Raw genomic sequence first — 23,543 nt, forward strand, 5'->3', positions numbered from 1 at the left:
CGACAGAGAGAGACTCCGTCTCAAAAAAATCCCCTAAAATCATTAGAACATTAGAACATTCGAAATGCATGTCCCTTGGGATTTTAAACGTTATTACATATATAAATTATCTTGCAGAATATTAATATATTGGTCTGTTTCTTCATTTATCACATTTTAACTATCCTACCTATAAACAAACTATATTGTTTGTATGTAGTATGTTCAGTTTTTCTTGGGTTGAATTTCCAAATATTTAGTAATGCTTCCCATTAGTGTCATGGGATTAATTTTTTTCGTTATATTTTCAAGGTTTTTTTTTTTTTTTTTTTTTTGAGGCAGAATCTTGCTCTGTCGTCAGGCTGGAATGTAGTTGTGCAATATCAGCTCATTGCAACCTCTGACTCCCTGGTTCAGGCTATTCTCCTGCCTCAGCCTCCTGAATAGCTGAGATTACAGGCACGTGCCACCATACCCAGCTGATTTTTGTATTTTTTAGTAGAGACGGGGTTTGTTTTTTTTGTTTGTTTTTTTTTTTTTTTTGAGGTGAAGTTTTGCTCTTGTCTCCCAGGCTGGTGGGCAATGGTGCAATCTCGGCTCACTGCAACCTCCGCCTCCCGAGTTCAAGTGATTCTCCTGCCTCGGCCTCCCACCCCTGAGTAGCTGGGATTACAGGCGCCTGCCACCAAGCCCGGCTAATTTTTGTACTTTTAGTAGAGACAGGGTTTCACCATGTTGGTCAGGCTGGTCTAGAACTCCTAACCTCATGTGATCCACCTGCCTCGGCCTCACAGAGTGCTGGGATTACAGGCGTGAGCCACCGCGCCCGGCCGAGTTGGGGTTTCACCATATTGGCCAGGATGGTCTCGATCTCCTGACCTCGTGATCTGCCTGCCTTGGCCTCTCAAAGTGCTGAGATTAGAGGCATGAGCCACCATGCCCAGCCTCCAGGTGTTTGTTAATGGAATATGAAAACACAGTTGACTCTTAGAAGTTTATTTCTTACCTAAATATTGGAATACAAGTCTAATAAGTGTACTTATGTATTTTTTGTTTTAATTTAATAGAGACGAGGTCTCACTGTATTATCCTGGCTGGTCTCGAACTCCTGGGCTCAAGTGATCTTCCTGCCTTGGCCTCCCAAAATACTGAGCTTACAGGCATGAGCCACTATGCCTGACCAAATTTTTTTTTTTTTTTTTTTTTTTTAAAAAGAGACAGGGTCTCACTTTGTCACCCAAGCTTGAGTGCAGTGATGGGATCATAGCTGACTGCAGCCTCGAACTACTGGGCTCAAGTGATCGTCTTGTTTCTGCCTCCTCAGTAGGTAGGACTGCAGGTGCACACCACCATACCCAGCTAATTCTTAGTATATTTTGGAAAGATTGGATCTTGTTATGTTCCCCTGGCTGATCTCTTTAACTCCTGTTTTCAATTGATCCTCCTGCCTTGGCTTCCCAAAGTGCTGGGTATATAAGTGTGAGGCACCTTACCCCACCTGTAAAAGTATTTTAAGGCCGGGCGAGGTGGCTCATGCCTATAATCCCAGCACATTGAGAGGCTGAGGTGGGCAGATCACCTGAGGTTAGAAGTTCAGGACCAGCCTGGCCAACATGGTGAAAACCTGTCTCTACTAAAAATACAAAAATTATATGAGTGTGGTGGCTGGCACCTGTAATCTCAGCTATTCGGGAGTCTGTGACAGGAGAATCGCTTGAACCCGGGAGGTGGAGGTTGCAGTGAGCTGAGATCGCACCATTTCACTCCACTCCAGTCTGGGCGACAGAGTGAGACACTGTCTCAAAAAAAAAAAAAAAAGTATTTAAAAATGAATGTTTCTAAGTACAAATGAATGACATTTCTCTTGTCTCTTTTATTTTTTTGGTAGATCTAGGTCCAAAGAGAAAACTGATGGTGGGGAAAGTTCTAAAGAGAAGAAAAAAGACAAAGATGACAAGGAGGATGAAAAAGAAAAAGATGCTGGCGTATGTTTATTAACTTAAAAATAATTTTCTTTCTTTCTTTTTGTCTTTCTTTCTTTCTTTTCTTTCTTTCCCTCTTTCTTTCTTTCTTTCTCTTTCTTTCTTTCTTTTCTGTCTGTCTTTCTTTCTGTCTTTCTTTCTGTCTGTCTCTGTTGCCCAGGCTGGAGTGCAGTGGCACATTCTCGGCTCCTGAGTTCAAGCAATTCTCCTGCCTCAGCCTCCCAAGTAGTTGGGACTATAGGCATGCGCCACCATGCCCAGCTAATTTTTGTATTTTTAGTAGAGATGGGGTTTCACTGTGTTGGCCAGGCTGGTCTTGAACTCCTGACCTTGTGATCCCCCTGCCTCGGACCCCCAAAGTGCTGAGATTACAGGTGTGAGCCACCGTGCCTGGCCATCAAACTTGTTTCTATGGGCCAGGCACGGTGGCTCACGCCTGTAATCCCAGCACTTTGGGAGGCCGAGGCGGGTGGATCATGAGGTCAGGAGATCAAAGCTATCCTGGCTAACATGGTGAAACCCTGTCTCTACTAAAAATACAAAAAAAAAAAAAAGATTAGCTAGGCGTGGTGGCAGGCGCCTGTAGTCCCAGCTACTTGGGAGGCTAAGCCAGGAGAATGGTGTGAACCCGGGAGGCAGAGCTTGCAGTGAGCCGAGATTGGGCCACTGTACTCCAGCCTGGGTGACAGAGCAAGACTCTGTCTCAAAAATCAAAACAAACTTGTTTCTATGCCAACAAATTTTTTTCTTTTTAATGCTGTAAGCTTTATTTTAAAATAACCAGATGTGAAAGATAAAAAAGGAAGATTAAATAATATTTACCCCTGTGGGAAAATTTTCTAAAAGAAGTTGCACATCTATACGCAATATCTGTTTTTACATACAAAGTGCAGTCTTACCATATAAACATTATCAATTGCCTTCCAAAAAATTTGTATAAATTTCGACTTAAGGCTGGGCACAGTGGCTCGTGCCTGTAATCTCACCACTTTGGGAGGCCAAGGCAGGTGGATCATCTGAGGTCAGGAGTTCGAGACCAGCCTGACCAACATGGTAAAACCCCGTCACTACTAAAAATACAAAAATTAGCCAGGCGTGATGGCGCATGCCTGTAATCCCAGCTACTTGGGAGACTGAGGCAGGAGAATCACTTGAACCTGGGAGGCAGAGGTTGCAGTGAGCCAAAAATCACACCATTGCACTCCAGCCTGGGCAACAAGAGCGAAACTCTGTCTCAAATGTGAAGGCCAGGCATGGTGGCTCGTGCCTGTAATCTCAGCAGTTCGGGAGGCCAAGGTGGGTAGATCACGAGGTCAAGAGATTGAGATCATCTTGGCCACCATGGTGAAACCCTGTCTCTACTAAAAATACAAAAATTAGCTGGGTGTGGTTGTATGTGCCTGTAATCCCAGCTACTCGGGAGGCTGAGATAGGAGAATGGCTTGAACCCCGGACTTGGAGATTGCAGTGAGCTGAGATCCCGCCAATGCACTCCAGCCTGGTGACTGCGAGACTCTGTCTGGAAAAAAAAAATGTAGACTTAAGAATTTAGACATGAGGCCAGGTGCTGTGGCTCATGCCTGTAATCCCAGGAATTTGGGAGTTCAAGCAGTTCCCCTGCCTCAGCCTCCTGAGTAGCTGGGATTACAGGTGCATGCCACCACGCCCAGCTAATTTTTTGGTATTTTTCGTAGAAATGGGGTTTCCCCCTGTTGGCCAGACTGGTCTTGAACTCCTGACCTCAGGCAATCTGCCTGCCTCTGCCTCCCAAAGCACTGGAATTACAAGCATGAGCCACCGTATCTGGCCTATTCATTTTTTTGAGACGGAGTTCTGCTCTTGTTGCTGAGGCCGGAGTACAATGGCGTGATCTCAGCTCGCTGCAACCTCTGCCTCCTGAGTCGAAGCAATTCTCCTGCTTCAGCCTCCTGAAGGAGGAACTACAGGAATGGGGAACCATGCCCAGCTAATTTTTGTGTTTTTAGTAGAGACAGGGTTTCACCATGTTGGCCAGGGTGGTTTCCAACTCCTGACCTCAAGGGATCCTCCAGCCTCAGCTTCCCACAGTGCTGGGATTACAGGTGTAAGCCACCATGCCTGGCCATAAACTTGTATTTTTTTAATAACACAGAGTCTCCCTTTGTTGCTGAGGCTGATCTCAACCTCCTGTGCTCAAGGGATCCTCTAGCCTCAGCTTCCCAGGTAGCTGGGACCACAGACATGTACCATGTGCCTGGCCATAAAATTTCTTTATCATGTTGATGTCGTTTATTTTCTAACTTGTAATAGAAAATTGCTTTTCATAGAGGCAATTTTGGAGGCGTTTAGGGGATTAAAATTGAGAATAACTGGGAAACTTTGCTTGCTAATTACTTTAGTTTCTGTTGTTAGGAAGAAATAAAGTTTATGTGTGCATAATGCTTGTAAGTAAAATGAGATTGATTTATAGTGTTTGAAATCTATCTTTTGGCTTTCTTATTTGAAGATGCTTTTTTTGTGATTTCATTTTGGTAATATATTTGTGTGTATATTTATAAAGGTATGTGATCTAAGTCTACCCTGAGGGGTTTGTATATATGCCTTTTTTCCCCTTCTTTATACTTTGAAGAACTTACTGGAATGTCACTTGGAGCAAAATTATTAAATTTGGTTTTGCTTTTTATTTTCCCCCATCTCTTTCTTTCTTTTATTCCCCCAAGAACTTTGACCAGAATAAGCTGGAAGAAGAAATGAGAAAGCGAAAAGAAAGAGTAGAAAAATGGCGAGAAGAGCAACGTAAAAAGGCTATGGAAAACATAGGAGAACTGAAAAAGGAAATCGAAGAGATGAAACAAGGGAAAAAGTGGAGTTTAGAGGACGATGATGGTATATTTTTTAGCCTAATAGCCTGTATAACACCTCATGTAGAATATTATATGAATAATATTTCATAAGGGGTTTTTAATCTTTTTTATTGTTGAAAACTATGCATAATATGCTGTTTACCATTTTCATCATTTTCAGGTTTCAATTCAGTGATAAATACATTTGCAGTGTTGTGCAGTCGTTACCACTGTCTGTTTCCATGACTTTTTCGTCATTCCATACAGAAACTCTGCACCTTTTAAATAACTCTATGACGCCTTTTCTCGCTACTTCTTGTGACCTTTGCTCTATTTTCTGTCTCTGAATTTGTTTAGTCTAGCTACCTCACATAAGTGGAATCATAATACATATTTGTCTTTTTGTGTCTGGCTTATTTCACTTAGCATAATGTCTTCAAGGTGCATGTATGTTGTAGCATGTTGGAATTTCCTTTCTTTATATGGCTGAATAATATTTCACTGTATATATATGCCAAGTTTTGTTTGTTCATTCACCTGCCATTGGATAATTTGGTTGTTTCCACCCTTTTGTTATCGTGAGTAATGCTCCTGTGACCATTGGTGTATAAATATCTGTTTGAGTCTCTGTATTGAGTTCTGTGAACTATATACCCAGAAGTGGAATTGAGATTGTAAAAGCTCCTTTTAATATTTATGTTGTAATTTGAAATATAGAATTGTGTTTAGTAAGCATCACTGATTTTACTTTAGAATGAATCATTGAGTGTTATTGGGCATAGCCAGTAAATAGTTCTTTAATATATTATACCAATGTGAACGTTAGTAAGGAGAGTAAATTAAGGGCATGCTTTCAAGTGCCTCCTCTGATTTTTCTTTTCTTTTTCATGTTTTTGGAGATAGAGTTTCATTCTCTTGCCTAGGCTGGAGTGCAGTGGCACAGTCATAGTTCACTGCAGCCTCGACGTCCTGGGCTCAAGTGATTTTTCTGCCTCAGCTTCCAGAGTAGCCACCATGCCTGGCTAATTTTGTCTTTTTCTTTTTTCTTTTTTGACAGAGTCTTGCTCTGTCACCCAGGCGGCACTGCAGTCTCCGCCTCCCAGGTTCAAGCTATTCTCTTGCGCCTCAGCTTTTCAAGTAGTCAGGATTACAGGCACCTGCCACCATGCCTGGATAATTTTTGTATTTTTAGTACAAAAATATGTTGGCCAGGCCGGTCTTGAACTCCTGACCTCAGGTGATCCTCCCACTTTGGCCTCCCATAGTGCTGGGATTACAGGCGTGAGCCACCATGCCCAGCTAATTTTGTCATTTTTTGAAGAGCCAGGGTCTCGATATGTTACCCAGCTAGTCTTGAGCTCCTGGGGTCAAGAGAGCCTGCTGCTTTGACCTTTCTCAGTGTTGGGATTACAGGCAGGAGCCACTGTGCCTGGCTGCTGATATTTCATAATTTAGGATGGAAACATTTCCCTTCACATCTGATTTTGACTTTCGAGATTTTAGTAAAGTAGGAGATTGTAGAATTTTATAGGAAAATGGGATTTTGGTCCATTGTCTGTGAAAGTTCCAAAGAATGGTTTAAATAGATTCTATCTATAAGTAGTCATGATGTCTTTTTTTTTTCGCTCTGTTGCCTACGCTTGAGTGCAGTGCCGTGATCTCGGCTCACTGCAACCTCCACCTCCCAGGTTCAAGAAATTCTCTGCCTCAGCCTCCTGAGTAGCTGGGATTACAGGTGTACACCACCACGCCCAGCTAATTTTTTTGTATTTTTAGTAGAGACGAGGTTTCACCACACTGGCCAGGTTGGTGTCAAACTCCTAACCTTGTGATCCGCCCGCCTTGGCCTATTTTTAGTAGAGATGGGGTTTCACTATGTTGGCCAGGCTAGTCTCAAACGCCTGACCTCGTGATCCACCTGCCTCGGCCTCCCAAAGCAGTGGGATTACAAGTGTGAGCCATTACGCCCAGCCAAGTAGTCGTGATGTCTTAATTCTAGACAATCTAATCTTTTTTACATAACTGAGATATGCTATCTTCTGTGATTGAAAGGTAATTGAAAGAAAAATACAGTTGACCCTTGAACAACTTGGTAGCTAAGCACACCAACCCCCACACAGTGAAATATCCATATGTAACTTTTTACTCCCCAGAAACTAAGCATTACCTGCTTACTGTTCACCAATAACATGAACAGTTGAATAACACATACTTTGTATGCTTTATGTATTGAATACTGTATTATTTTAATATGGTAAGCGGGAGAAAAGAATGTTATTAAGAGAATTAGAGGCTGGGCGCGCTGGTGCATGCCTGTAATCCCAGCGCTTTGGGAGGCTGAGGCAGGTGGTTCACAAGGTCAAGAGATCAAGATCATCCTGGCCAACATGGTGAAACTCCGTCTCTACTAAAAATACAAAAATTAGCTTGGTGTGGTGGCGCACACCTGTAGTCCCAGCTACTCGGGAGGCTGAGGCAGAAGAATCACTTGAACCTGGGAGGTGAAGGTTGCCGTCAGTGAGCCGAGATGGTGCCACTGCACTCCAGCCTGGCAACAGAGTGAGACTGTCTAGAAAAAAAAAAAAAGAATTACGAGAAAGCAAAAATATACTTACTGTCCATTAAGTTGAAGTAGATCATCTTAAAGGTCTTCATCCTTGTTGTCTTCACATTGAGTAGGCTGAGAAGGAAGAAGAGGAGGAGGAGTTGGTCTTGTCTCTGGGGTGGCAAAGGTGGAAGAAAATTTGCTTCCATGTGGACCCATGCAGTTCAAACCTATGTTGTTCAGGGATCAACTGTAATTGAAAATGTCATTTAGCTGGGTGCAGTGGCTCACGCCTGTAATCCCAACACTTTGGGAGGCTGAGGTGGGTGGATCACAAGGTCAGGAGTTCGAGACCAGCCTGACAAACATGGTGAAACCCCGTCTCTACTAAATACAAAAATTAGCTGAGTATGGTGGCGCACGCCTGTAATCCCAGCTACTCAGGAGGCTGAGGCAGGAGAATCGCTTGAACCCAGGATATCAGAGGTTGCAGTAAGCTGAGATCGCGACACTGCACTCCAGCCTGGGCAACAGAGCGAGACTCTGTCTCAAAAAAAAAAAAAAAAAGGCCAGGCGTGGTGGCTCACGCCTGTAATCCCAGCACTTTGGGAGGCCGAGGCGGGCGGATCACGAGGTTAGGAGTTAGAGACCATCCTGGCTCACATGGTGAAACCCCCTCTTTACTAAAAATAAAAAAAATTAGTGGCATGGTGGCGGGCACCTGTAGTCCCGGTTACTCGTCAGGCTGAGGCAAGAGAATGGTGTGAACCCAGGAACCTGGGAGGCGGAGCTTGCAGTGAGCTGAGATTGTGCCACTGTACTCCAGCCTGGGTGACAGAGCGAGACTCCGTCTCAAAAAAAACATCATTTAGCAGAGAAAGTTTGTAGTTCTGCATCCAGCTGTATAGCTGTAAAATCTATTATTGGAGATCACCTTTTTTGGCATAATTAATCTTTTGACCCTTTTACAACCAATTTATGTTTTATTCATATTTATTTTGTCATTGTTAATATTCAGAAGTAATACATGCTTCATGTAAAAATGGAAAAACCTCAGAATATGAGCATTTGAACTGATGGATGGCTGGAGTAATTGGAAAAGGGGTGTTTGGGCAGTGGCAGAAAAGGTTAGAGAGGTGGGGTGTGGTCTGATTGTGAAATACTGCATTTTTAAACAGATGTTTAAAGAATGTGTATTCTGGTATTTTAGATGACGAAGATGATCCTGCAGAAGCTGAAAAGGAGGGAAATGAAATGGAGGGTGAGGAGTTAGATCCATTAGATGCTTACATGGAAGAAGTGAAAGAGGAAGTAAAAAAATTTAACATGAGAAGTGTAAAAGGTGGTGGGGGAAATGAAAAGGTATGGAATTTCTTATTTTTAAAGATTTCCGTTTCCTCTTGGGTAACTTGAGTTCTCCATTGCATTGTCCTACTGATTGGCATGACTTTGTAAAGCTAACAGTTTTCTTTCTCCTCATCTGAGAGATGGCAGTACTTTTTCTGAGTACCAGAGATACTGGTAAATTTTAGCTATAAGTGTTCTTTCAAAAGTCACTCTTTTAACACCATCAACTTAGTTTGATATCTTTGCTTACATATTAACCTTTTTAATAAGTTCTCTGGAGACTTCTCTAGCACTCCTGTCTTTGATACTCTTTTTTTTTTTTTTTTTTGATACAGAGTCTCTCTTTTGCCTAGGCTGGAGTGCAATGGTGTGATCTTGGCTTACTGCATCCTCCACCTCCCAGGCCTATGCAGTCTACCTACCTCAGCCTCCCAAGTAGCTGGAACTACATGTGTGCACCACCATGCCTGGCTAATTTTTGTATTTTGGTAGAGATGAGGTTTTACCATGTTGCTCACGCTGGTCTCGAATTCCTGGCCTCAAGTGAACCACCTGCCTCGGCCTCCCAAAATACTTGGATTACAGGCATGAGCCACCATGCCCAGCTGTGTCTTTGATACCCTTGATGCCCCTCACTTTATTCTATTTTTCCTCTTTTTCATAGCATTTATTACATTTTGACAAATTATATAATTTTTTTGTGTTTACAGTATGTCCCTTCTCCCTTCTAAAATGTAAGCACTCTAAGGGCAGTGACTTTTACCTGTGTTATTTGTTGATTTATTCAGGCTCCCGCTACAAGCCCCTGGCTTGCCTAGTGATTGGAAAATACCATTTAGTAGTATTTTGTTTCATTTTATTTATTTATTTATTTTTTTTCTGAGACAGAGTCTCGCTCTATTGCCCAAGCGGGAGTGCAGTGGCGCAATCTTGGCTCACTGCAACTGCTGCCTCCCAAGTTCAAGCGATTCTCCTGCCTCAGCCTCCCAAGTAGCTGGGATTACAGGCGCCTGCCACTATGCCCGGCTAAGTTTTGTATTTTTAGTAGAGACCGGGTTTCACCATGTTGGTCAGGCTGGTCTCGAACTCCCGACCTCAGGTGATCCTCCCGCCTTGGCCTCCCAAAGTACTGGGATTACAGGCGTGAACCACCGTGCCCAGCCTCATTTTATTTTATTTTATATTAATTTAATTTATTTTTTTGAGATGGAGTGTCGCCTTTGTTGCCTAGGCTAGAATGCAGTGGTGTAATCTCGGCTCACTGCAACTTCCACCTCCTGGCTTCAAGTGATTCTTCTGCCTCAGCTTCCTGAGTAGCTGGGATTACAGGCCCTTGCCACCACGCCCAGCTAATTTTTGTATTTTTAGTGGAGATGGGGTTTCACCATGTTGGCCAGGCTGGTCTCGAACTCCTGACCTCAGGTGATCCACCTGCCTTGGCCTCCCAACGTGCTGGGATTATAGGCATTAGCCACTGCACCTGTCCTATTTTATTTTTTTTGAGATGGAGTCTTGCTCTGTTGCCTAGGCTGGAGTTCAGTGGCACTATCTCTGCTCACTGCACCCTGTGCCTCCCAGGCTCAAGTGATTCTCCTACCTCAGCCTCCCGAGTAGCTGGGATTACAGGCGCCCACCACCATGCCTGGCTAATTTTTGTATTTTTAGTAGAGACAGGGTTTCACCATGTTGGCCATGCTGGCCTTGAACTCCTGACCTCAAATGATCTGTCTGCCTTGGCCTCCCAAAGTGCTGGGATTACAAGCGTGAGCCACCACACTCGGCCTTATTTTATTTTTTATTTAAGAAAATGTTTTTTAGAGACAGGGTCTCGCTGTGTTACCCAGGCTGGAGTGCAGTGGCATGATCATACCTCATACGCCTGGGCTGAAGCAATCGTTCTGCTTCAACCTTCTTAGTAGTTAGGACTACAGGCATGTACCACCACATCTGGCTAATTGTTTATAGAGATGGAATCTCACGTGTTACCCAGGCTGGTCTCGAACTCCTGGACTCAAGTGATCTTCCTGTCTTGGCCTCCCAAAGTGCTGGGATTACACACATGAACCACTGTACCTAGCCTAGTAGTAGTTTAAAAATACATAATCATGCCGGACGTGGTGGCTCATGCCTGTAATCCCAACATTTTGGGAGGCCGAGGCAGACGGATCACCTGAGGTCAGGAGTTAGAGATCAGCCTGGCCAACATGGCAAAATGCCATCTCTACTAAAAATACAAGAATTAGCTGGGTGTGATGGCGGACGCCTCTAATCCAAGCTACTTGGGAGGCTGAGGCAGGGGAATAGCTTGAACTGGGAGCAATTAGCCTAGATCACACCACTGTACTCTAGCCTGGGTGACAGAATAAGACTCAGTCTGAAAAAAATATATGTGTGTGTGTGTGTGTGTGTGTGTGTGTGTGTGTGTGTGTATATGTATATATGTGCATGTATATGTGTATATGTATATGTGTGTATGTATATATGTATGTGTATGTGTATATGTGTGTATATGTGTGTGCGTATATGTGTATATATTATATATTTTTATATATATTATTGTTATATATAATTGGCTGGGTGTGCTGACTCACGCCTGTCATCTCAGCACTTTTGCAGGGGCTGAGGTGGGTGGATTACCTGAGGTAAGGAGTTCGAGACCAGCCTGCCAACATGATGAAACCCTGTTTCTACTAAAGATGCAAAAATTAGCCGGACTAGTGGCGGGTGCCTGTAATCCCAGCTCCTGGGGAGGCTGAGGCAGGAGAATTGCTTGAATCCAGGAGGCAGAGGTTACAGTGAGCTGAAATCATGCCATTGCACTCCAGCCTGGGTGACAAGAGCAAAACTTTATCTCAATAAATAAATAAATAAATAAATAAATAAATAAATAAAGTATGTATAATTATATAAAATTATTTATAATACAGTAAATTATGAATGGATGTATTATAAAATATAATTATATTATGCTTAAAAATTTATACAAATTAATGAGAAAAACAGGCTATTGTTTGTCTTTTCATTTAATAACTCAGTTGGCTCAGTGCCCTGGCTCACACCTGCAATCCCAGAACTTTGGTAGGCTGAGGCTGGTGGATCACTGGAGCCAAGTAGTTCAAGACCAGCCTGGGCAACATAGCATGACTCTTTCTACTAAAAAACAAAAAAAATTAACTGGGTTTGGTGACATGTGCTTGTAGTCCTAGCAACTCAGGAGGACTGATGGGACGAATCCTTGAGCCCAGAAATTTGAGGTTACAGTGAGCTATGATCACACCACTCAAGCCTGGGTGACTGAGACCATGTCACTAAAAAAAGAAAAAAAACTAAAGATGAAATTGTGTCAGTTACTGTGTGCTTCAGCAGTCATATAACTTGTGTTTCAGCTTTGCAAAATATTCTATATTTGTTCTTTATTTTAGAAGTCTGGGCCAACGGTCACAAAAGTTGTCACTGTTGTGACAACCAAAAAAGCAGTTGTGGATTCTGATAAGAAGAAAGGTGAGCTGATGGAGAATGACCAGGATGCCATGGAGGTGATTTTTCTTAATTTTGACTTTGTTTATGATACTATCCTGGAAGCATTTATTAGAAAGCATTCATGGAGATGTGCGTTTCATTTGTGTGAGCTAGGAGAAATTCCCAGAATTGAGAGACATTCTTGCTATTCTTAGTAGTATAATAGTATCTAGTTAAATATCTGTTTAGTGGAACATTCTGATGTCTTCATTCCTAACTGTATGATCTTTCTGCCCCTCATCAGCTCACTTCAGGCATACAATATGGAGAGAAAAAAATGGAGTAACAGAATGAATTAATTTTCTTTCCATTAACACGTAAAGATTTATATAGTAAAAACAGTAGCAAAGCCTTATTAGAGCTGTCTCTGATGATTACTGTTTTAGCTTTATATTGGCATTTTAACCTTCTAAAGGCAAAGAAAAAAAAACTAAGTTGAAAAATTCTTCAGGAGCTGCTTGATACGTTTCTAATTCAAGGTGTCATACGTCATTTGAGGTGATTTTAAAATTATGAGGTTTAAGTGTGCTGGAGCACTATAAAAATCTTGTGGGTCAAACAGTGTGTCGTAGAAAGTAAAATATTAGAGTAGTTTCTAGGAGAGGAAGATTTGAAAAGCTAGGAGTATTGCTTCCCACAAGGGGAAAATAGTAATGAACTTAGCGCTTTAATTTTTTCTTTTAAACTATAGTATTCTTCAGAGGAGGAAGAAGTTGATCTTCAGACAGCCCTTACAGGGTATCAAACAAAACAGCGAAAGCTTCTAGAACCAGTTGATCATGGAAAAATTGAGTATGAGCCATTTAGGAAAAACTTCTATGTTGAAGTTCCAGAACTAGCAAAAATGTCTCAAGAAGGTAAAATTCCATTTTTTCATTTACTGGTTATAAGGGAACAGAAGAGGATACATTTCACATTGCTCAAGAGAAATGTGGATAGTGTCTCATGAAGGAGGGTGTTTTGGAAATATTTTTAAAATGATCAAAAATTAATTGGCCAGCTGCGGTGGCTCACGCCTGTAATCTAAGCACTTTGGGAGGCTGAGGTGGGCGGATTGTCTGAGCTCAGAAGTTCGAGACCAGCCTGGGCAATACAGTGAAACCCCGTCTCTACTAAAATACAAAAAACTAGGCTGGGCACAGTGGCTCACACCTGTAATCCTAGCACTTTGGGAGGCCAAGGCGGGCAGATCACAAGGTCAAGAGTTTGAGACCATCCTGGCCAATATGGTGAAACCCCATCTCTACTAAAAAAATACAAAAATAAAAAAAATTGTTGGTTTTGTTTTGTTTTTTTTTTGAGACAGGGTCTCACTCCATTGCCCAGGCTAGAGGCTGGAGTGCAGTGGTGCAGTCATTGCTCACTGTAGCCTTGATTTCCTACCACACCCCCCGTTCCCACCCCAGGCTCAGGTGATCTTCCTATGTCAGCCTCCCGAGTAGCTGGGACTACAGACATGTGCCACCACACCCAGCTAATTTTTGTACTTTTTGTTGAGACAGGGTTTCACCATGTTGCCCAGGTTGGTCTTCAACTCCTGGGTTCAAGTGATCTGCCTGCGTCTGTCTCCCAAAGTGCTAGTTGCTAGGATTACAGGTGTGAGCCGCTGGGTCTGGCATAAGAGTTAAAGTTTGTTAATCTTATGCCTAATTGAAAAGTAGAAGACACCAATAGAACAATATTTAAGAACTTTTAATCTGGGTTTTGTTTTGTAGAGGTAAATGTGTTTCGATTGGAAATGGAGGGCATTACAGTTAAAGGAAAAGGTTGCCCCAAACCAATTAAATCCTGGGTCCAGTGTGGAATTTCCATGAAGATCTTAAATTCCCTCAAGAAGTAAGTGGTTGGTGGTTGTTTATGTTTTCCGTGTCTTGCTGCTCAAAATAGTCCTTCCACACCAGTGTCTCCCTGAGTTACATTTTTACTCTAAAAAAACCCTTACGTTTTAAAAAACTTTCATTGAGATAATTTATATATCAAAATTTACCCTTTAAATTATACAACTGGTTTTTTTTTGTTTTGTTTTGTTTTGTTTTTTGAGACAGAGTCTTGCTCTGTTGCCCAGGGTGGAGTGCAGTGGTGCAATCTCACTGCGCTCACTGTGACCTCGGCCTCCCGGGCTCAAGCAGTTCTCCTGCCTCAGCCTTCCGAGTAGCTGAAACTATAGGTGTGTGCCACCATAGCTGGTTATTTTTATTTTTAGTAGAGACAGGGTTTCACCATGTTGGTCAGGCTGGCGTTGAACTCCTGACCTCAGGTGATCCGCCCGCCTCAGCCTCCCAAAGTGCTGGGATGACAGGCGTGAGCCTCCATGCCCGGCCTTTTTTTTTTTTTTTTGAGACGGAGTTTCACTCTCGTTGCCCAGGCTGGAGTGCTGTGGCTCGATCTTGGCTCACTGCAACCTCCGCCTCTTGGGTTCAAGTGATACTTTTGCCTCAGCCTCCCAAGTAGGTGGGATTACAGGCATGTGCCACCATGCCTGGCTAATTTTGTATTTTTAGTAGAGACAGGGTTTCTCCATGTTGGTGAGGGTGGTCTCGAACTCTCTACCTCAGATGATCCACCCGCTGCGGCCTCTGAAAGTACTGGGATTACAGGCGTGAGCCACCAAGGCCGGCCTTTTTTTTTTTTTTTTTTAAGAGATGGGGTGTCGCTATGTTGACCAGGCTGGTCTCCAACTCCTGGCCCCAAATGATTCTCCCATCTCAGCCTCCCAGAATGCTGGGATTTCAGTCATGAACCACTGCGCCCTGCCTAATTTTTAAATTTTTCATTATCCCAAAAAGAAACTTTTGTCCATTAGTAGTCAGTCTTCTCCCCTCTCCCCACCCCTGGGCAACCATTAATCTATTTTTTGTCTCTAGAATAGATTTGGCTATTCCTAACATTTCATGTAAATGGGATCAAACAATATATAGTCTTTACTGCCTGATCTTTTTCACTTTACATAATGTTGTAAAGATTAGTCCATATTGTAGAATGTGTTAGTACTTCATTCCTTTTTATTGCCAAATAGTATTTTATTGTATGATATATACCACCTTTTGGAAGTTCATTTTTATGGGAACACATAGGACCTGTCTGGGGCCCAGCAATCTCAATTCTTACCTTTTCTTCCTTTGGTTTTCTTTTTAAGGCATGGCTATGAAAAGCCCACGCCCATCCAAACCCAAGCTATTCCTGCTATAATGTCTGGACGAGATTTGATTGGCATTGCCAAAACAGGAAGTGGAAAGACCATTGCTTTTCTGTTGCCCATGTTTAGACACATCATGGATCAGAGGTCATTAGAGGAAGGAGAGGGGCCAATAGGTACAATTCTTTTCATTAAACTATTTTTCAAATAACAGCTTTGTTGTCAAACAGAAAGACCTTATAGTTTATAATGTTCTTAATTATGACAATGAAGTTGTCTTTATGTACATTTTCTTTATCAATTTGGCACTTTGGGGCTGATTTCCCCTTACCAGCAGGTGGAGTGAGAATCTTCAGAGCTCTGGAGTGACATCTCAGAAGTACAAAAACAGCCTCTCCTGGCACAGCTCAGTTTTTAAACTCTGACTTGGCAGGTAGACTCCTCGTGCATCTATCTGTTTATTTATATTGAGGTTTGTTAGCCCAGTATCAGTGGATATATAAAAGCGACATGGAAGATATCCTAGGGAAACATATTTTCCTAGGTAGTTTTTGGCCTTAACAGGCTATAATGCCAGCATTTCATTCAAGATTACTTGTTTAGATTCTGGTTTCTTGATTCATCTTGGCAGAGATAACTCTTGGAAAGTTGAGTAGGGTTTTGGAAAGTTGTTCAGCTTCTCTCTTAGGAACACGGGGCATAGTATATCTCTCCTCTGTCTGTGCCCCTCAGACCAAGGTTGTTTCTGGAAGCAGCAGTATGGCTTCTGTGGCACAGTGAGTCACTTGATTTTCTTTGTTCTGTGATTTGCATTAGAAAACTGTTTGCATTCTTTTGAACCAAGTATTTTCCTGAGGGTTGGATGAGGCATTTAACTGTCATTTATCTTCTTTTAGCATGTTTTTAAAAATCTGCTTATATTTATCCTTCCCCACAACCTCTGCTGTTATACAACTTTTGAAATAGTTTTCAGGGATGCATAACAAAACAAAAATTAGGTGAAACAATCTGAACTTTATTGTAAAGGTTAAATTGAACACTATAAAGCACAGCCTTAAGAATTTTGGTGGTTAGGCTACTGATGTATTTATCTTTCCAGCTGTCATCATGACTCCAACTCGAGAACTGGCTTTACAGATTACTAAAGAGTGTAAGAAGTTTTCCAAGACTTTGGGACTTAGAGTGGTCTGTGTTTACGGAGGAACAGGAATCAGTGAGCAGGTAGTTATATAAGAAACATTCATGTTTTCCATTCTTTTCTCAAGTTGGATGATTCAATAAAGTAAAAGTGACTTTTACTTTTAGTTTTTTGAATAGTGATTGCTTCTAAAATCATTTAAAAAATGAAGTATAAAAATAATAGTAAGAATTAGTTATTTTATGTAGGATGAATACCTTTGGAGATGTAATGTACAGCATGGTGACTAGTTAATGTTATATTGTGTGCTGAAAATTCGCTAAGCCAGTAGATCTCACATCATGTTTTTTTTTTTTCTTTTTTGAGATGGAGTCTCGCTCTGTCACACAGGCTGGAGTACAGTGGCGCGATCTCGGCTCACTGCAACCTCTGCCTCCCTGGTTCAAGCGATTCTCCTACCTCAGCCTCCCAAGTTGCTGGGACTACAGGTGCCTGCCACCACGCCTGGCTAATTTTTGTATTTTTAGTAGAGACGGGGTTTCACCATATTGGCCAGATTGGTCTTGAACACCTGACCTCAGGTGATCCTCCTGCCTCGGCCTCCCAAAGTGTTGGGATTACAGGTGTGAGCCACCGTGCCTGACCAATCTTACATGTTCTTACCACAAAAGAAAATATTGGTAACTATATGAGGTGATATGTTAGCTTGATTGTGTTCATCATTTCAGAGTGTATATGTATATCAAACATGTTGTACACCTTAAATATATATAATTTTTGTTAATTATGACCCAATATAGTTGTGGCAAAAAAGAACATACTATGTTAATGCTAGATTAGAATTTTTGAATCTTTTTACATAGATTATCCCTCCTCCCTCTTCCCCTGCCTGAGAAAGCAGATTTTTTTTTTCATTTTACATATGAGGAAATATTCAGAAAGATTTATTAAGTTGACCAATTAGGTTAATACGTTCTAGAGTTTGTCCTGGAACCTAGGTCTCTGATCTCTGAGCATTTGTTTCTCTAATCTATGCTGACATCTTTAAAAAGTGATGGTGGCCAGGCACGGTGGCTCATGCCTGTAATCCCAGCGCTTTGAGAGGCCGAAGCGGGTGGATCATGAGGTCAGGAGCTCAAGACCAGCCTAGCCAACATGGCGAGACTCCCCGTCTCTACTGAAAACACAGAAATTAGCCTGGCTTGGTGGCGCCTGCCTGTAATATCAGCTACTCGGTAGGCTGAGGCAGGAGAATCACTTGAACCTGGGAGGCGGAGGTTGCAGTAAGCTGAGATCACGCCACTGCACTCCAGCCTGGGAGACAGAGCAAGACTCCATCTTGGGGGGTGGCGGAAGTGATGGTGATTACTGGGATGCATTAATATCAGAGGTGTTTTGTTGTTGTTGTTGTTGTTGTTTTTTGGTTTTGTTTTATTGGAGACAGCATCTTACTCTGTTGCCCGGGCTGGAGTGCAGTGGTGTGACCTTGGCTCACTGCATCCTTGACCTCCTGGGCTTAAGCCGTCCTCCCTCTTGAGCCTCCTGAGTATCTGGGACCACAGACGCATGCTACCACACCCGGCTAGTTTTTGTATTTTTTTGTAGAGACGAGGTTTTGCCATGTTGCCCAGGCTGGTCTTGAATTCCTGGGCTCAAGCAATCTGCTTGCCTTGGCTTCCCTTTGTAACACCTCCGAAAGGTATAGACGTGAGCCACTGTGACCAGCCCTTCAGCTGTCTTCTAAAGAATGAAATAGTTTTCAGATATTTTGCTTAACTAGAAGAAGGCAAAAAAGTAGGTTCTGTGATTGGATAAGTTTTGGAAATGTTGGAGTATAAAAAGTTAAAACCACTTTCTTTCCTGTAAGACTTCTTTGTTCTTAATAAGCTAATGTATATTGTGTTGCTAGATAAATGGGATAAATTAAGTGACGTTTTCTGAACTTAACTACAAAACTGTTTCTTAGGACTATTGTTACAAGAACACACTTCAAGAATATTTGCTTTTGTTAACTCCAGTGCTATTTTAATTACTTCAAATTACTTCATTTTCTAAGTTTATCTTTATGATTTTTCATGACTGTAGTTTGTAGAAATACACTTACAAAATAACATGGTACATGCCTGCACGTTGTATTTATATAAATGCCAAACAAAAGTTTTATGATGTTAAGGGACTTCTGGTATTTTCCATTCCATTTCATTTAAAAAATGCTGGTTGTGGTTGAACACTATGGCTCATACCTGTAATCATCACAGCATTTTGGGAGGCTGAAATGGAAGAATCACTTGAGTCCAGGAGTTTGTGACCAGCCTGGGCAATGTAGTGAGACCCCATCTCTTAAAACAGTAAATAAATTAGCGAGTGCCTGTAGTCCTAGATACTGGGAGGGTGTGTGGGGTGGTGGGGGGAGGGGCTGAGATGGGAGGGTCACTTGAGCCCAGGATCTAGGCTGCAATGACCTATGATGACACTGCTGCACTGGGCAACAGAGCCTGGGCAACAGAGTGAGACCCTGTCTCAAAAAAAAAAAAAAAAAAAGCTGATTATGACTGTTAAAGTGATTTCATGATTCACTAATGTGGCAACCCTCAATTTGAAAAACACTAGTCTATGTGGTCACTTAGAAATTTCTTTTTCTGAGGCAGGGTCTTGCTCTTGCTCAGGCTGGAGTGCAAGGATGTGATCATAGCTCACTCCAACCTTGAACTCCTGGGCTCAAGAGATTATCACTTTTTTTTTTTAAACTGCTTTCTTAAGTTCATTTCTTGGTTTTGAGGGATAGTGGCAAATCAAATTTGCAGAATTCTCTAGTTCTTATTTGTTTCAAATTTATGGCACTATGTGGTCACGTTGTTGCTATTTCTTTAGTAGTGCCCCGAGATTCAAAATAATTAAGCAGGAAGCTTGGAAGTCTTCTAATTAGACTAGGCAAGAACTAAATGCAGTATTTTTTAGTGTTTAAGTAAGCATTAGTAATAGACTATAAAGTTTCATCTTTTTTATTAGATTGCTGAGCTGAAAAGAGGTGCTGAAATTATTGTTTGCACACCTGGTCGAATGATTGACATGTTAGCCGCTAACAGTGGTAAGTCAGGGGTATTTTTTTGGTGTCTTTTATTTTTGAATTCTTTACTTTTTTTTGTTAAAACAGATGCAAGAAACCAACAAAGGGTTTCTATATTTCTTCTTAAAGCTGCAGTATCTTAAAATTTGTAGCCTGTAGTCCCAGCTACTTGGGAGGCTGAGGCAGGAGAATAGCTTGAACCCGGGAGGCGGAGCTTGCAGTGAGCCAAGATCGCACCACTGTACTCCAGCCTGGGTGACAGAGTAAGACTCCGTCTCAAAAAAAAAAAATAATAATTGTAACAAGTTGATTATTACAAGCATTAATGATATTTTTGCAATTTAAAATTTTTTTTCAGAAGTAACTCCATCTGATCATAACTTGGATTCTTAATCCAGTTTTGGCCTGGCTTTGCTTAGTAAAAGAGTGGGGTAGTAGCTTTTTCTTTATTACAAAATTTAGACTTTTTCTCCACATGAGCTAGTATTTTCTTAGATACTACATAAATTAAGATATTGCAGCTTCAAGAAATTTTATCTTTTGTAAATATTGCATGTTTGTAGCTCAAATGTTATGCTTTGTTAAATTATTCCCTATCAAAACTCTTACTAAACTGTTGACATTATTTAACTTCTGTGGAGAAAGGCCCTTCAAGATTTATAGAACTGGGCTTCCGAGACTTAAACCATCAAAGGTAGGTAATTTAATGCTGTTCCCGACCTTGCAAAACTAATTGGGGCTACAAATGCTAGTGTGGAATACTTAAATATTAGATAGCACTTATTTTGGCACTTTTTATTTTTTGAAGAAAATGCTCTCAGAGGTTTCCATTGCAATATTTAGTGTGTACATAATAGAGTATTAAAAACTGAGTTAGTGCATGTTTCTAGTAGTATTCTGCTTGAATTTCTAATTCTAATTGTACATGAAGTTGGCAAAGTGACATCGAAATTGAGAAGTCATTGTGCTTGTCTAGCATATGGAAAGTTTTGGTTTGAATGCTGATTAAATAATCCCTTTTTTTTTTTCTCAATGCTGCATTGATTAAGTCTCCTCCTGAAATTCATCTTGATTAATTTTACCTTTTTCTCTTATCTGTCATTGTGGTCTATTTTTAAATAACTATTTTATACGTGTTTTTGCCAGGTGATTGATTCAACAGTTGATAGCAATGCTTCTGTTAATATTTTAGAAGGAATTTCCTATGTATGTATTTTGTTTTCACTGGTTAGGAAGCCAGTTGCATTTATTTAAGTCAGTGGGTTCACTTAATAAAATTGGGATTTATATCTTTGTATGGAAAATGTATTTATGTAATGTGTTTTGGTATTTAAAGTTTTTGTGTGATACTTTAATTTCCTAATGCTGTCAAATAGCTTCTCATTAAGGGTTTGACATGCCCATTTAAGAAGCTTCTAAATATATGGAAGTAGGTTATAAAATAATATAGAGAGACATTTTCTGTGTCTAAAATAGTTAGCACTAGAACTTGCTTTCCACACATACGCTGTAATCTCTAATATGTTTTTTTCTAGGTGATGCTGTCAGATAATGGCTGATGTGGCTCGATGCTTCATCTCAGTCTTAGTTTTATGATGTGTTTTGGAGAGGGCTGTTTTCTGAATTTTACAGGTTCTTCAGGCCCTATGATGGTATGCAAGAGACGAGTTTGACAAAATAAAGGGCCTCATATACCCATTGTCAGAAAGTATTTGCCACTAGATTAAGACATTGTAGATCAAAATTTCTTTTCACTTTTTAAAGATACCTAACTTACCCCTCTGGTTAAGTCAGGCATTTTAGTTTCCTTTACAGTTTTTAAAAGTTCTTGGTAGCCATAAAATGAATTGTGACTGATTTTTAGTTTTCTTTTTGTCTTTATTTTTCTTTTCATCTTAGGTCGGGTCACAAATCTTCGAAGAGTGACATATGTTGTTTTAGATGAAGCAGACAGAATGTTTGACATGGGTTTTGAACCCCAGGTAATCATTAAATTTCTTAAGTGTTTTGAAATGTAAATATAACTTTGTAGTTGCCATGAGAATGAAATGTTCATGTGGTTTCTGAAATTCACACACACACTTTTCTGTTGCACGGTAATACAGAAGACTGGGGACATACAGTATTGAAGTACATATTTATGTTTCAGATTCCTCACAAAACTTCTTCAGGAGGTATTTATACCGGCATTTCTTAGCCATCTAAGACCAACACCAACAAAGCTAGAATTGGAGTGCTAATAATAGAGCTTAAGCCTTATTTTTTTTTTTCAGATGGAGTCTTGCTCTGTCGCCCAGACTGCAGTGCAGTGGAGAACGATCACTACTCACTGCAACCTCTGCCTCCTGGGTTCAAGCGATTCTCCTGCCTCAGCCTCCCGAGTACCTGGGACTACAGGTGCCCGCCACCACGCCCGGTTAACTTTTTAATAGAGATGGAGTTTCACCACGTTGGCCAGGCTGGTCTCGAACTCCTGACCTCAGGTGATCCACCCGCCTTGGCCTCCCAAAGTGTTGGGATTACAGGCGTGAGCCACTGTGCCCGGCCCATTGTCTTTTTAAATAAATTCTTTTAATTCATGCTTTTAGATACCTCATTATCTAGTCTAGATAGCACGTCATTTACGTTTACCAAAGTCATTCACGTTTGCTAAGATAATGGCCCAAAGAATTTATCTAGCTTAGGTTTTTATGTTCCTTATATATGCTCTTTGCTCAGGTACAAAATTTCAGTGATACACATTTATAGGAACACATTTTAAAGGTGGTAGATGAGGTCAGGAGATCGAGACCATCCTGGCTTTCACGGTGAAACCTCATATCTACTAAAAATACAAAAAAATTAGCCGGGCTTGGTGGCAGGCGCCTGTAGTCCCAGCTACTCAGGAGGCTGAGGCAGGAGAATGGCGTGAACCCGGGCGGCGGAGCTTGCAGTGAGCTGAGATCACGCTGTTGCACTCCAGCCTGGGAGACAGAGCGAGACTCCGTCTCAAAAAAAAAAAAAAGTGGTAGAAGGTTTTCTTAAGAAGATCATTGTGAATTGTCAGTAGGCTGTAGTTGCCAAAAAATGAATAAAAAAGGATTATAAGAGACCATAGTAATGGAAATGTGCATGGAAAAGGGATAAGGCAAATGTCATATTTAGCCTTTTCAGTTTATCCATGTACTCTCCAAAAATTTATTGCCAGTTATATGTTAGTGCATGTATTGTATTTAGATTTAGGGACTGCATTCTAAATGAGATGTAAATAGAGGAACACAGAGGAAGCAGGATTATGGTAATGCTTGAACCATATGCGAAACAGTTAAAATGATATTTAGCTTTGGGCAGGGAATGGTGGCTCATGCCTTTAATCCCAGCAATTTGGGAGGCCGAGGCAGGCAGATCACTTGAAGTCAGGAGATCAGCCTAGCCTGGCCAACATCGTGAAACCCCGTTTCTACTAAAAATACAAAAATTAGCTGGACATGGTGACGGGCGCCTGTAATCCCAGCTACTTGGGAGGCTGAGTCAGGAGGATCACTTGAACCTGGGAGGCACAGGGTGTAGGGAGCCGAGATCGCATTACTGTACTTAAGCCTGGGTGATAGAACGAGACTTAGTCTCAAAAAATAATAATATAATAATAATAATAGTAATAATAATCAGCTTTGAGTAGAAGATAAGATAGCATCCTTTAACTCTGAACAAGTGTCACATGAAAGCAGCATTGAATTTATTTTTTTCATCCCAAGGAGTACAAATGGGATCCAGTGGGGAAGTCATATGGAGCTTGATCTGAGTTTAGTTTGAGGAAGGACTGAATAAACATTATTTGGAGAGGAAACATTGCTTCGTGAGGGAGCGGGGGCGGATATACTGAATATCTGTTTCTTCCAGGTGTTCAAGCAGAGTCAAGGGGTCTGTTTGTTGTGGTAAGAGAGTAAAGAGAATTGAAGTGTCAGATGGAACACAGTCACATGCCCTTTAATGTCTTTCCCAATCATGTGAAATCTTAGATTTTATTAT

At 41.3% G+C, this 23,543-nt stretch overlaps 1 protein-coding gene across 6 annotated transcripts in view; it reads left to right on the forward strand.

Moving 5' to 3' along the window:
* DDX46 (DEAD-box helicase 46) overlaps positions 1-23,543 on the forward strand; it is a 72,343-nt gene that overhangs the window by 10,257 nt on the left and 38,543 nt on the right. For 2 of the 6 annotated variants that reach the window (NR_125341.2, XR_007058668.1), the window contains 11 exons: positions 1,868-1,964; positions 4,661-4,826; positions 8,539-8,690; positions 12,098-12,211; positions 12,886-13,051; positions 13,910-14,030; positions 15,331-15,506; positions 16,430-16,551; positions 19,478-19,556; positions 21,071-21,187; positions 21,435-21,517. Coding sequence is in view for 3 of the 6 variants with exons in the window: in NM_001300860.2 (NP_001287789.1) it covers positions 1,868-1,964; positions 4,661-4,826; positions 8,539-8,690; positions 12,098-12,211; positions 12,886-13,051; positions 13,910-14,030; positions 15,331-15,506; positions 16,430-16,551; positions 19,478-19,556; positions 21,435-21,517 (1,276 nt within the window). In the remaining 3 variants the exon portion in view is untranslated. Of the gene's footprint in view, positions 1-1,867; positions 1,965-4,660; positions 4,827-8,538; positions 8,691-12,097; positions 12,212-12,885; positions 13,052-13,909; positions 14,031-15,330; positions 15,507-16,429; positions 16,552-19,477; positions 19,557-20,180; positions 20,580-21,070; positions 21,188-21,434; positions 21,518-23,543 lie in introns of those variants that run through there. The other 4 variants (NM_001300860.2, NM_014829.4, XR_948313.4 and 1 more) reach the window with 3 other exon arrangements.

The sequence above is a fragment of the Homo sapiens genome, chromosome 5 (assembly GCF_000001405.40).
Source record: "Homo sapiens chromosome 5, GRCh38.p14 Primary Assembly".
In the NCBI taxonomy this organism is placed as follows: Eukaryota; Metazoa; Chordata; class Mammalia; order Primates; family Hominidae; genus Homo; species Homo sapiens.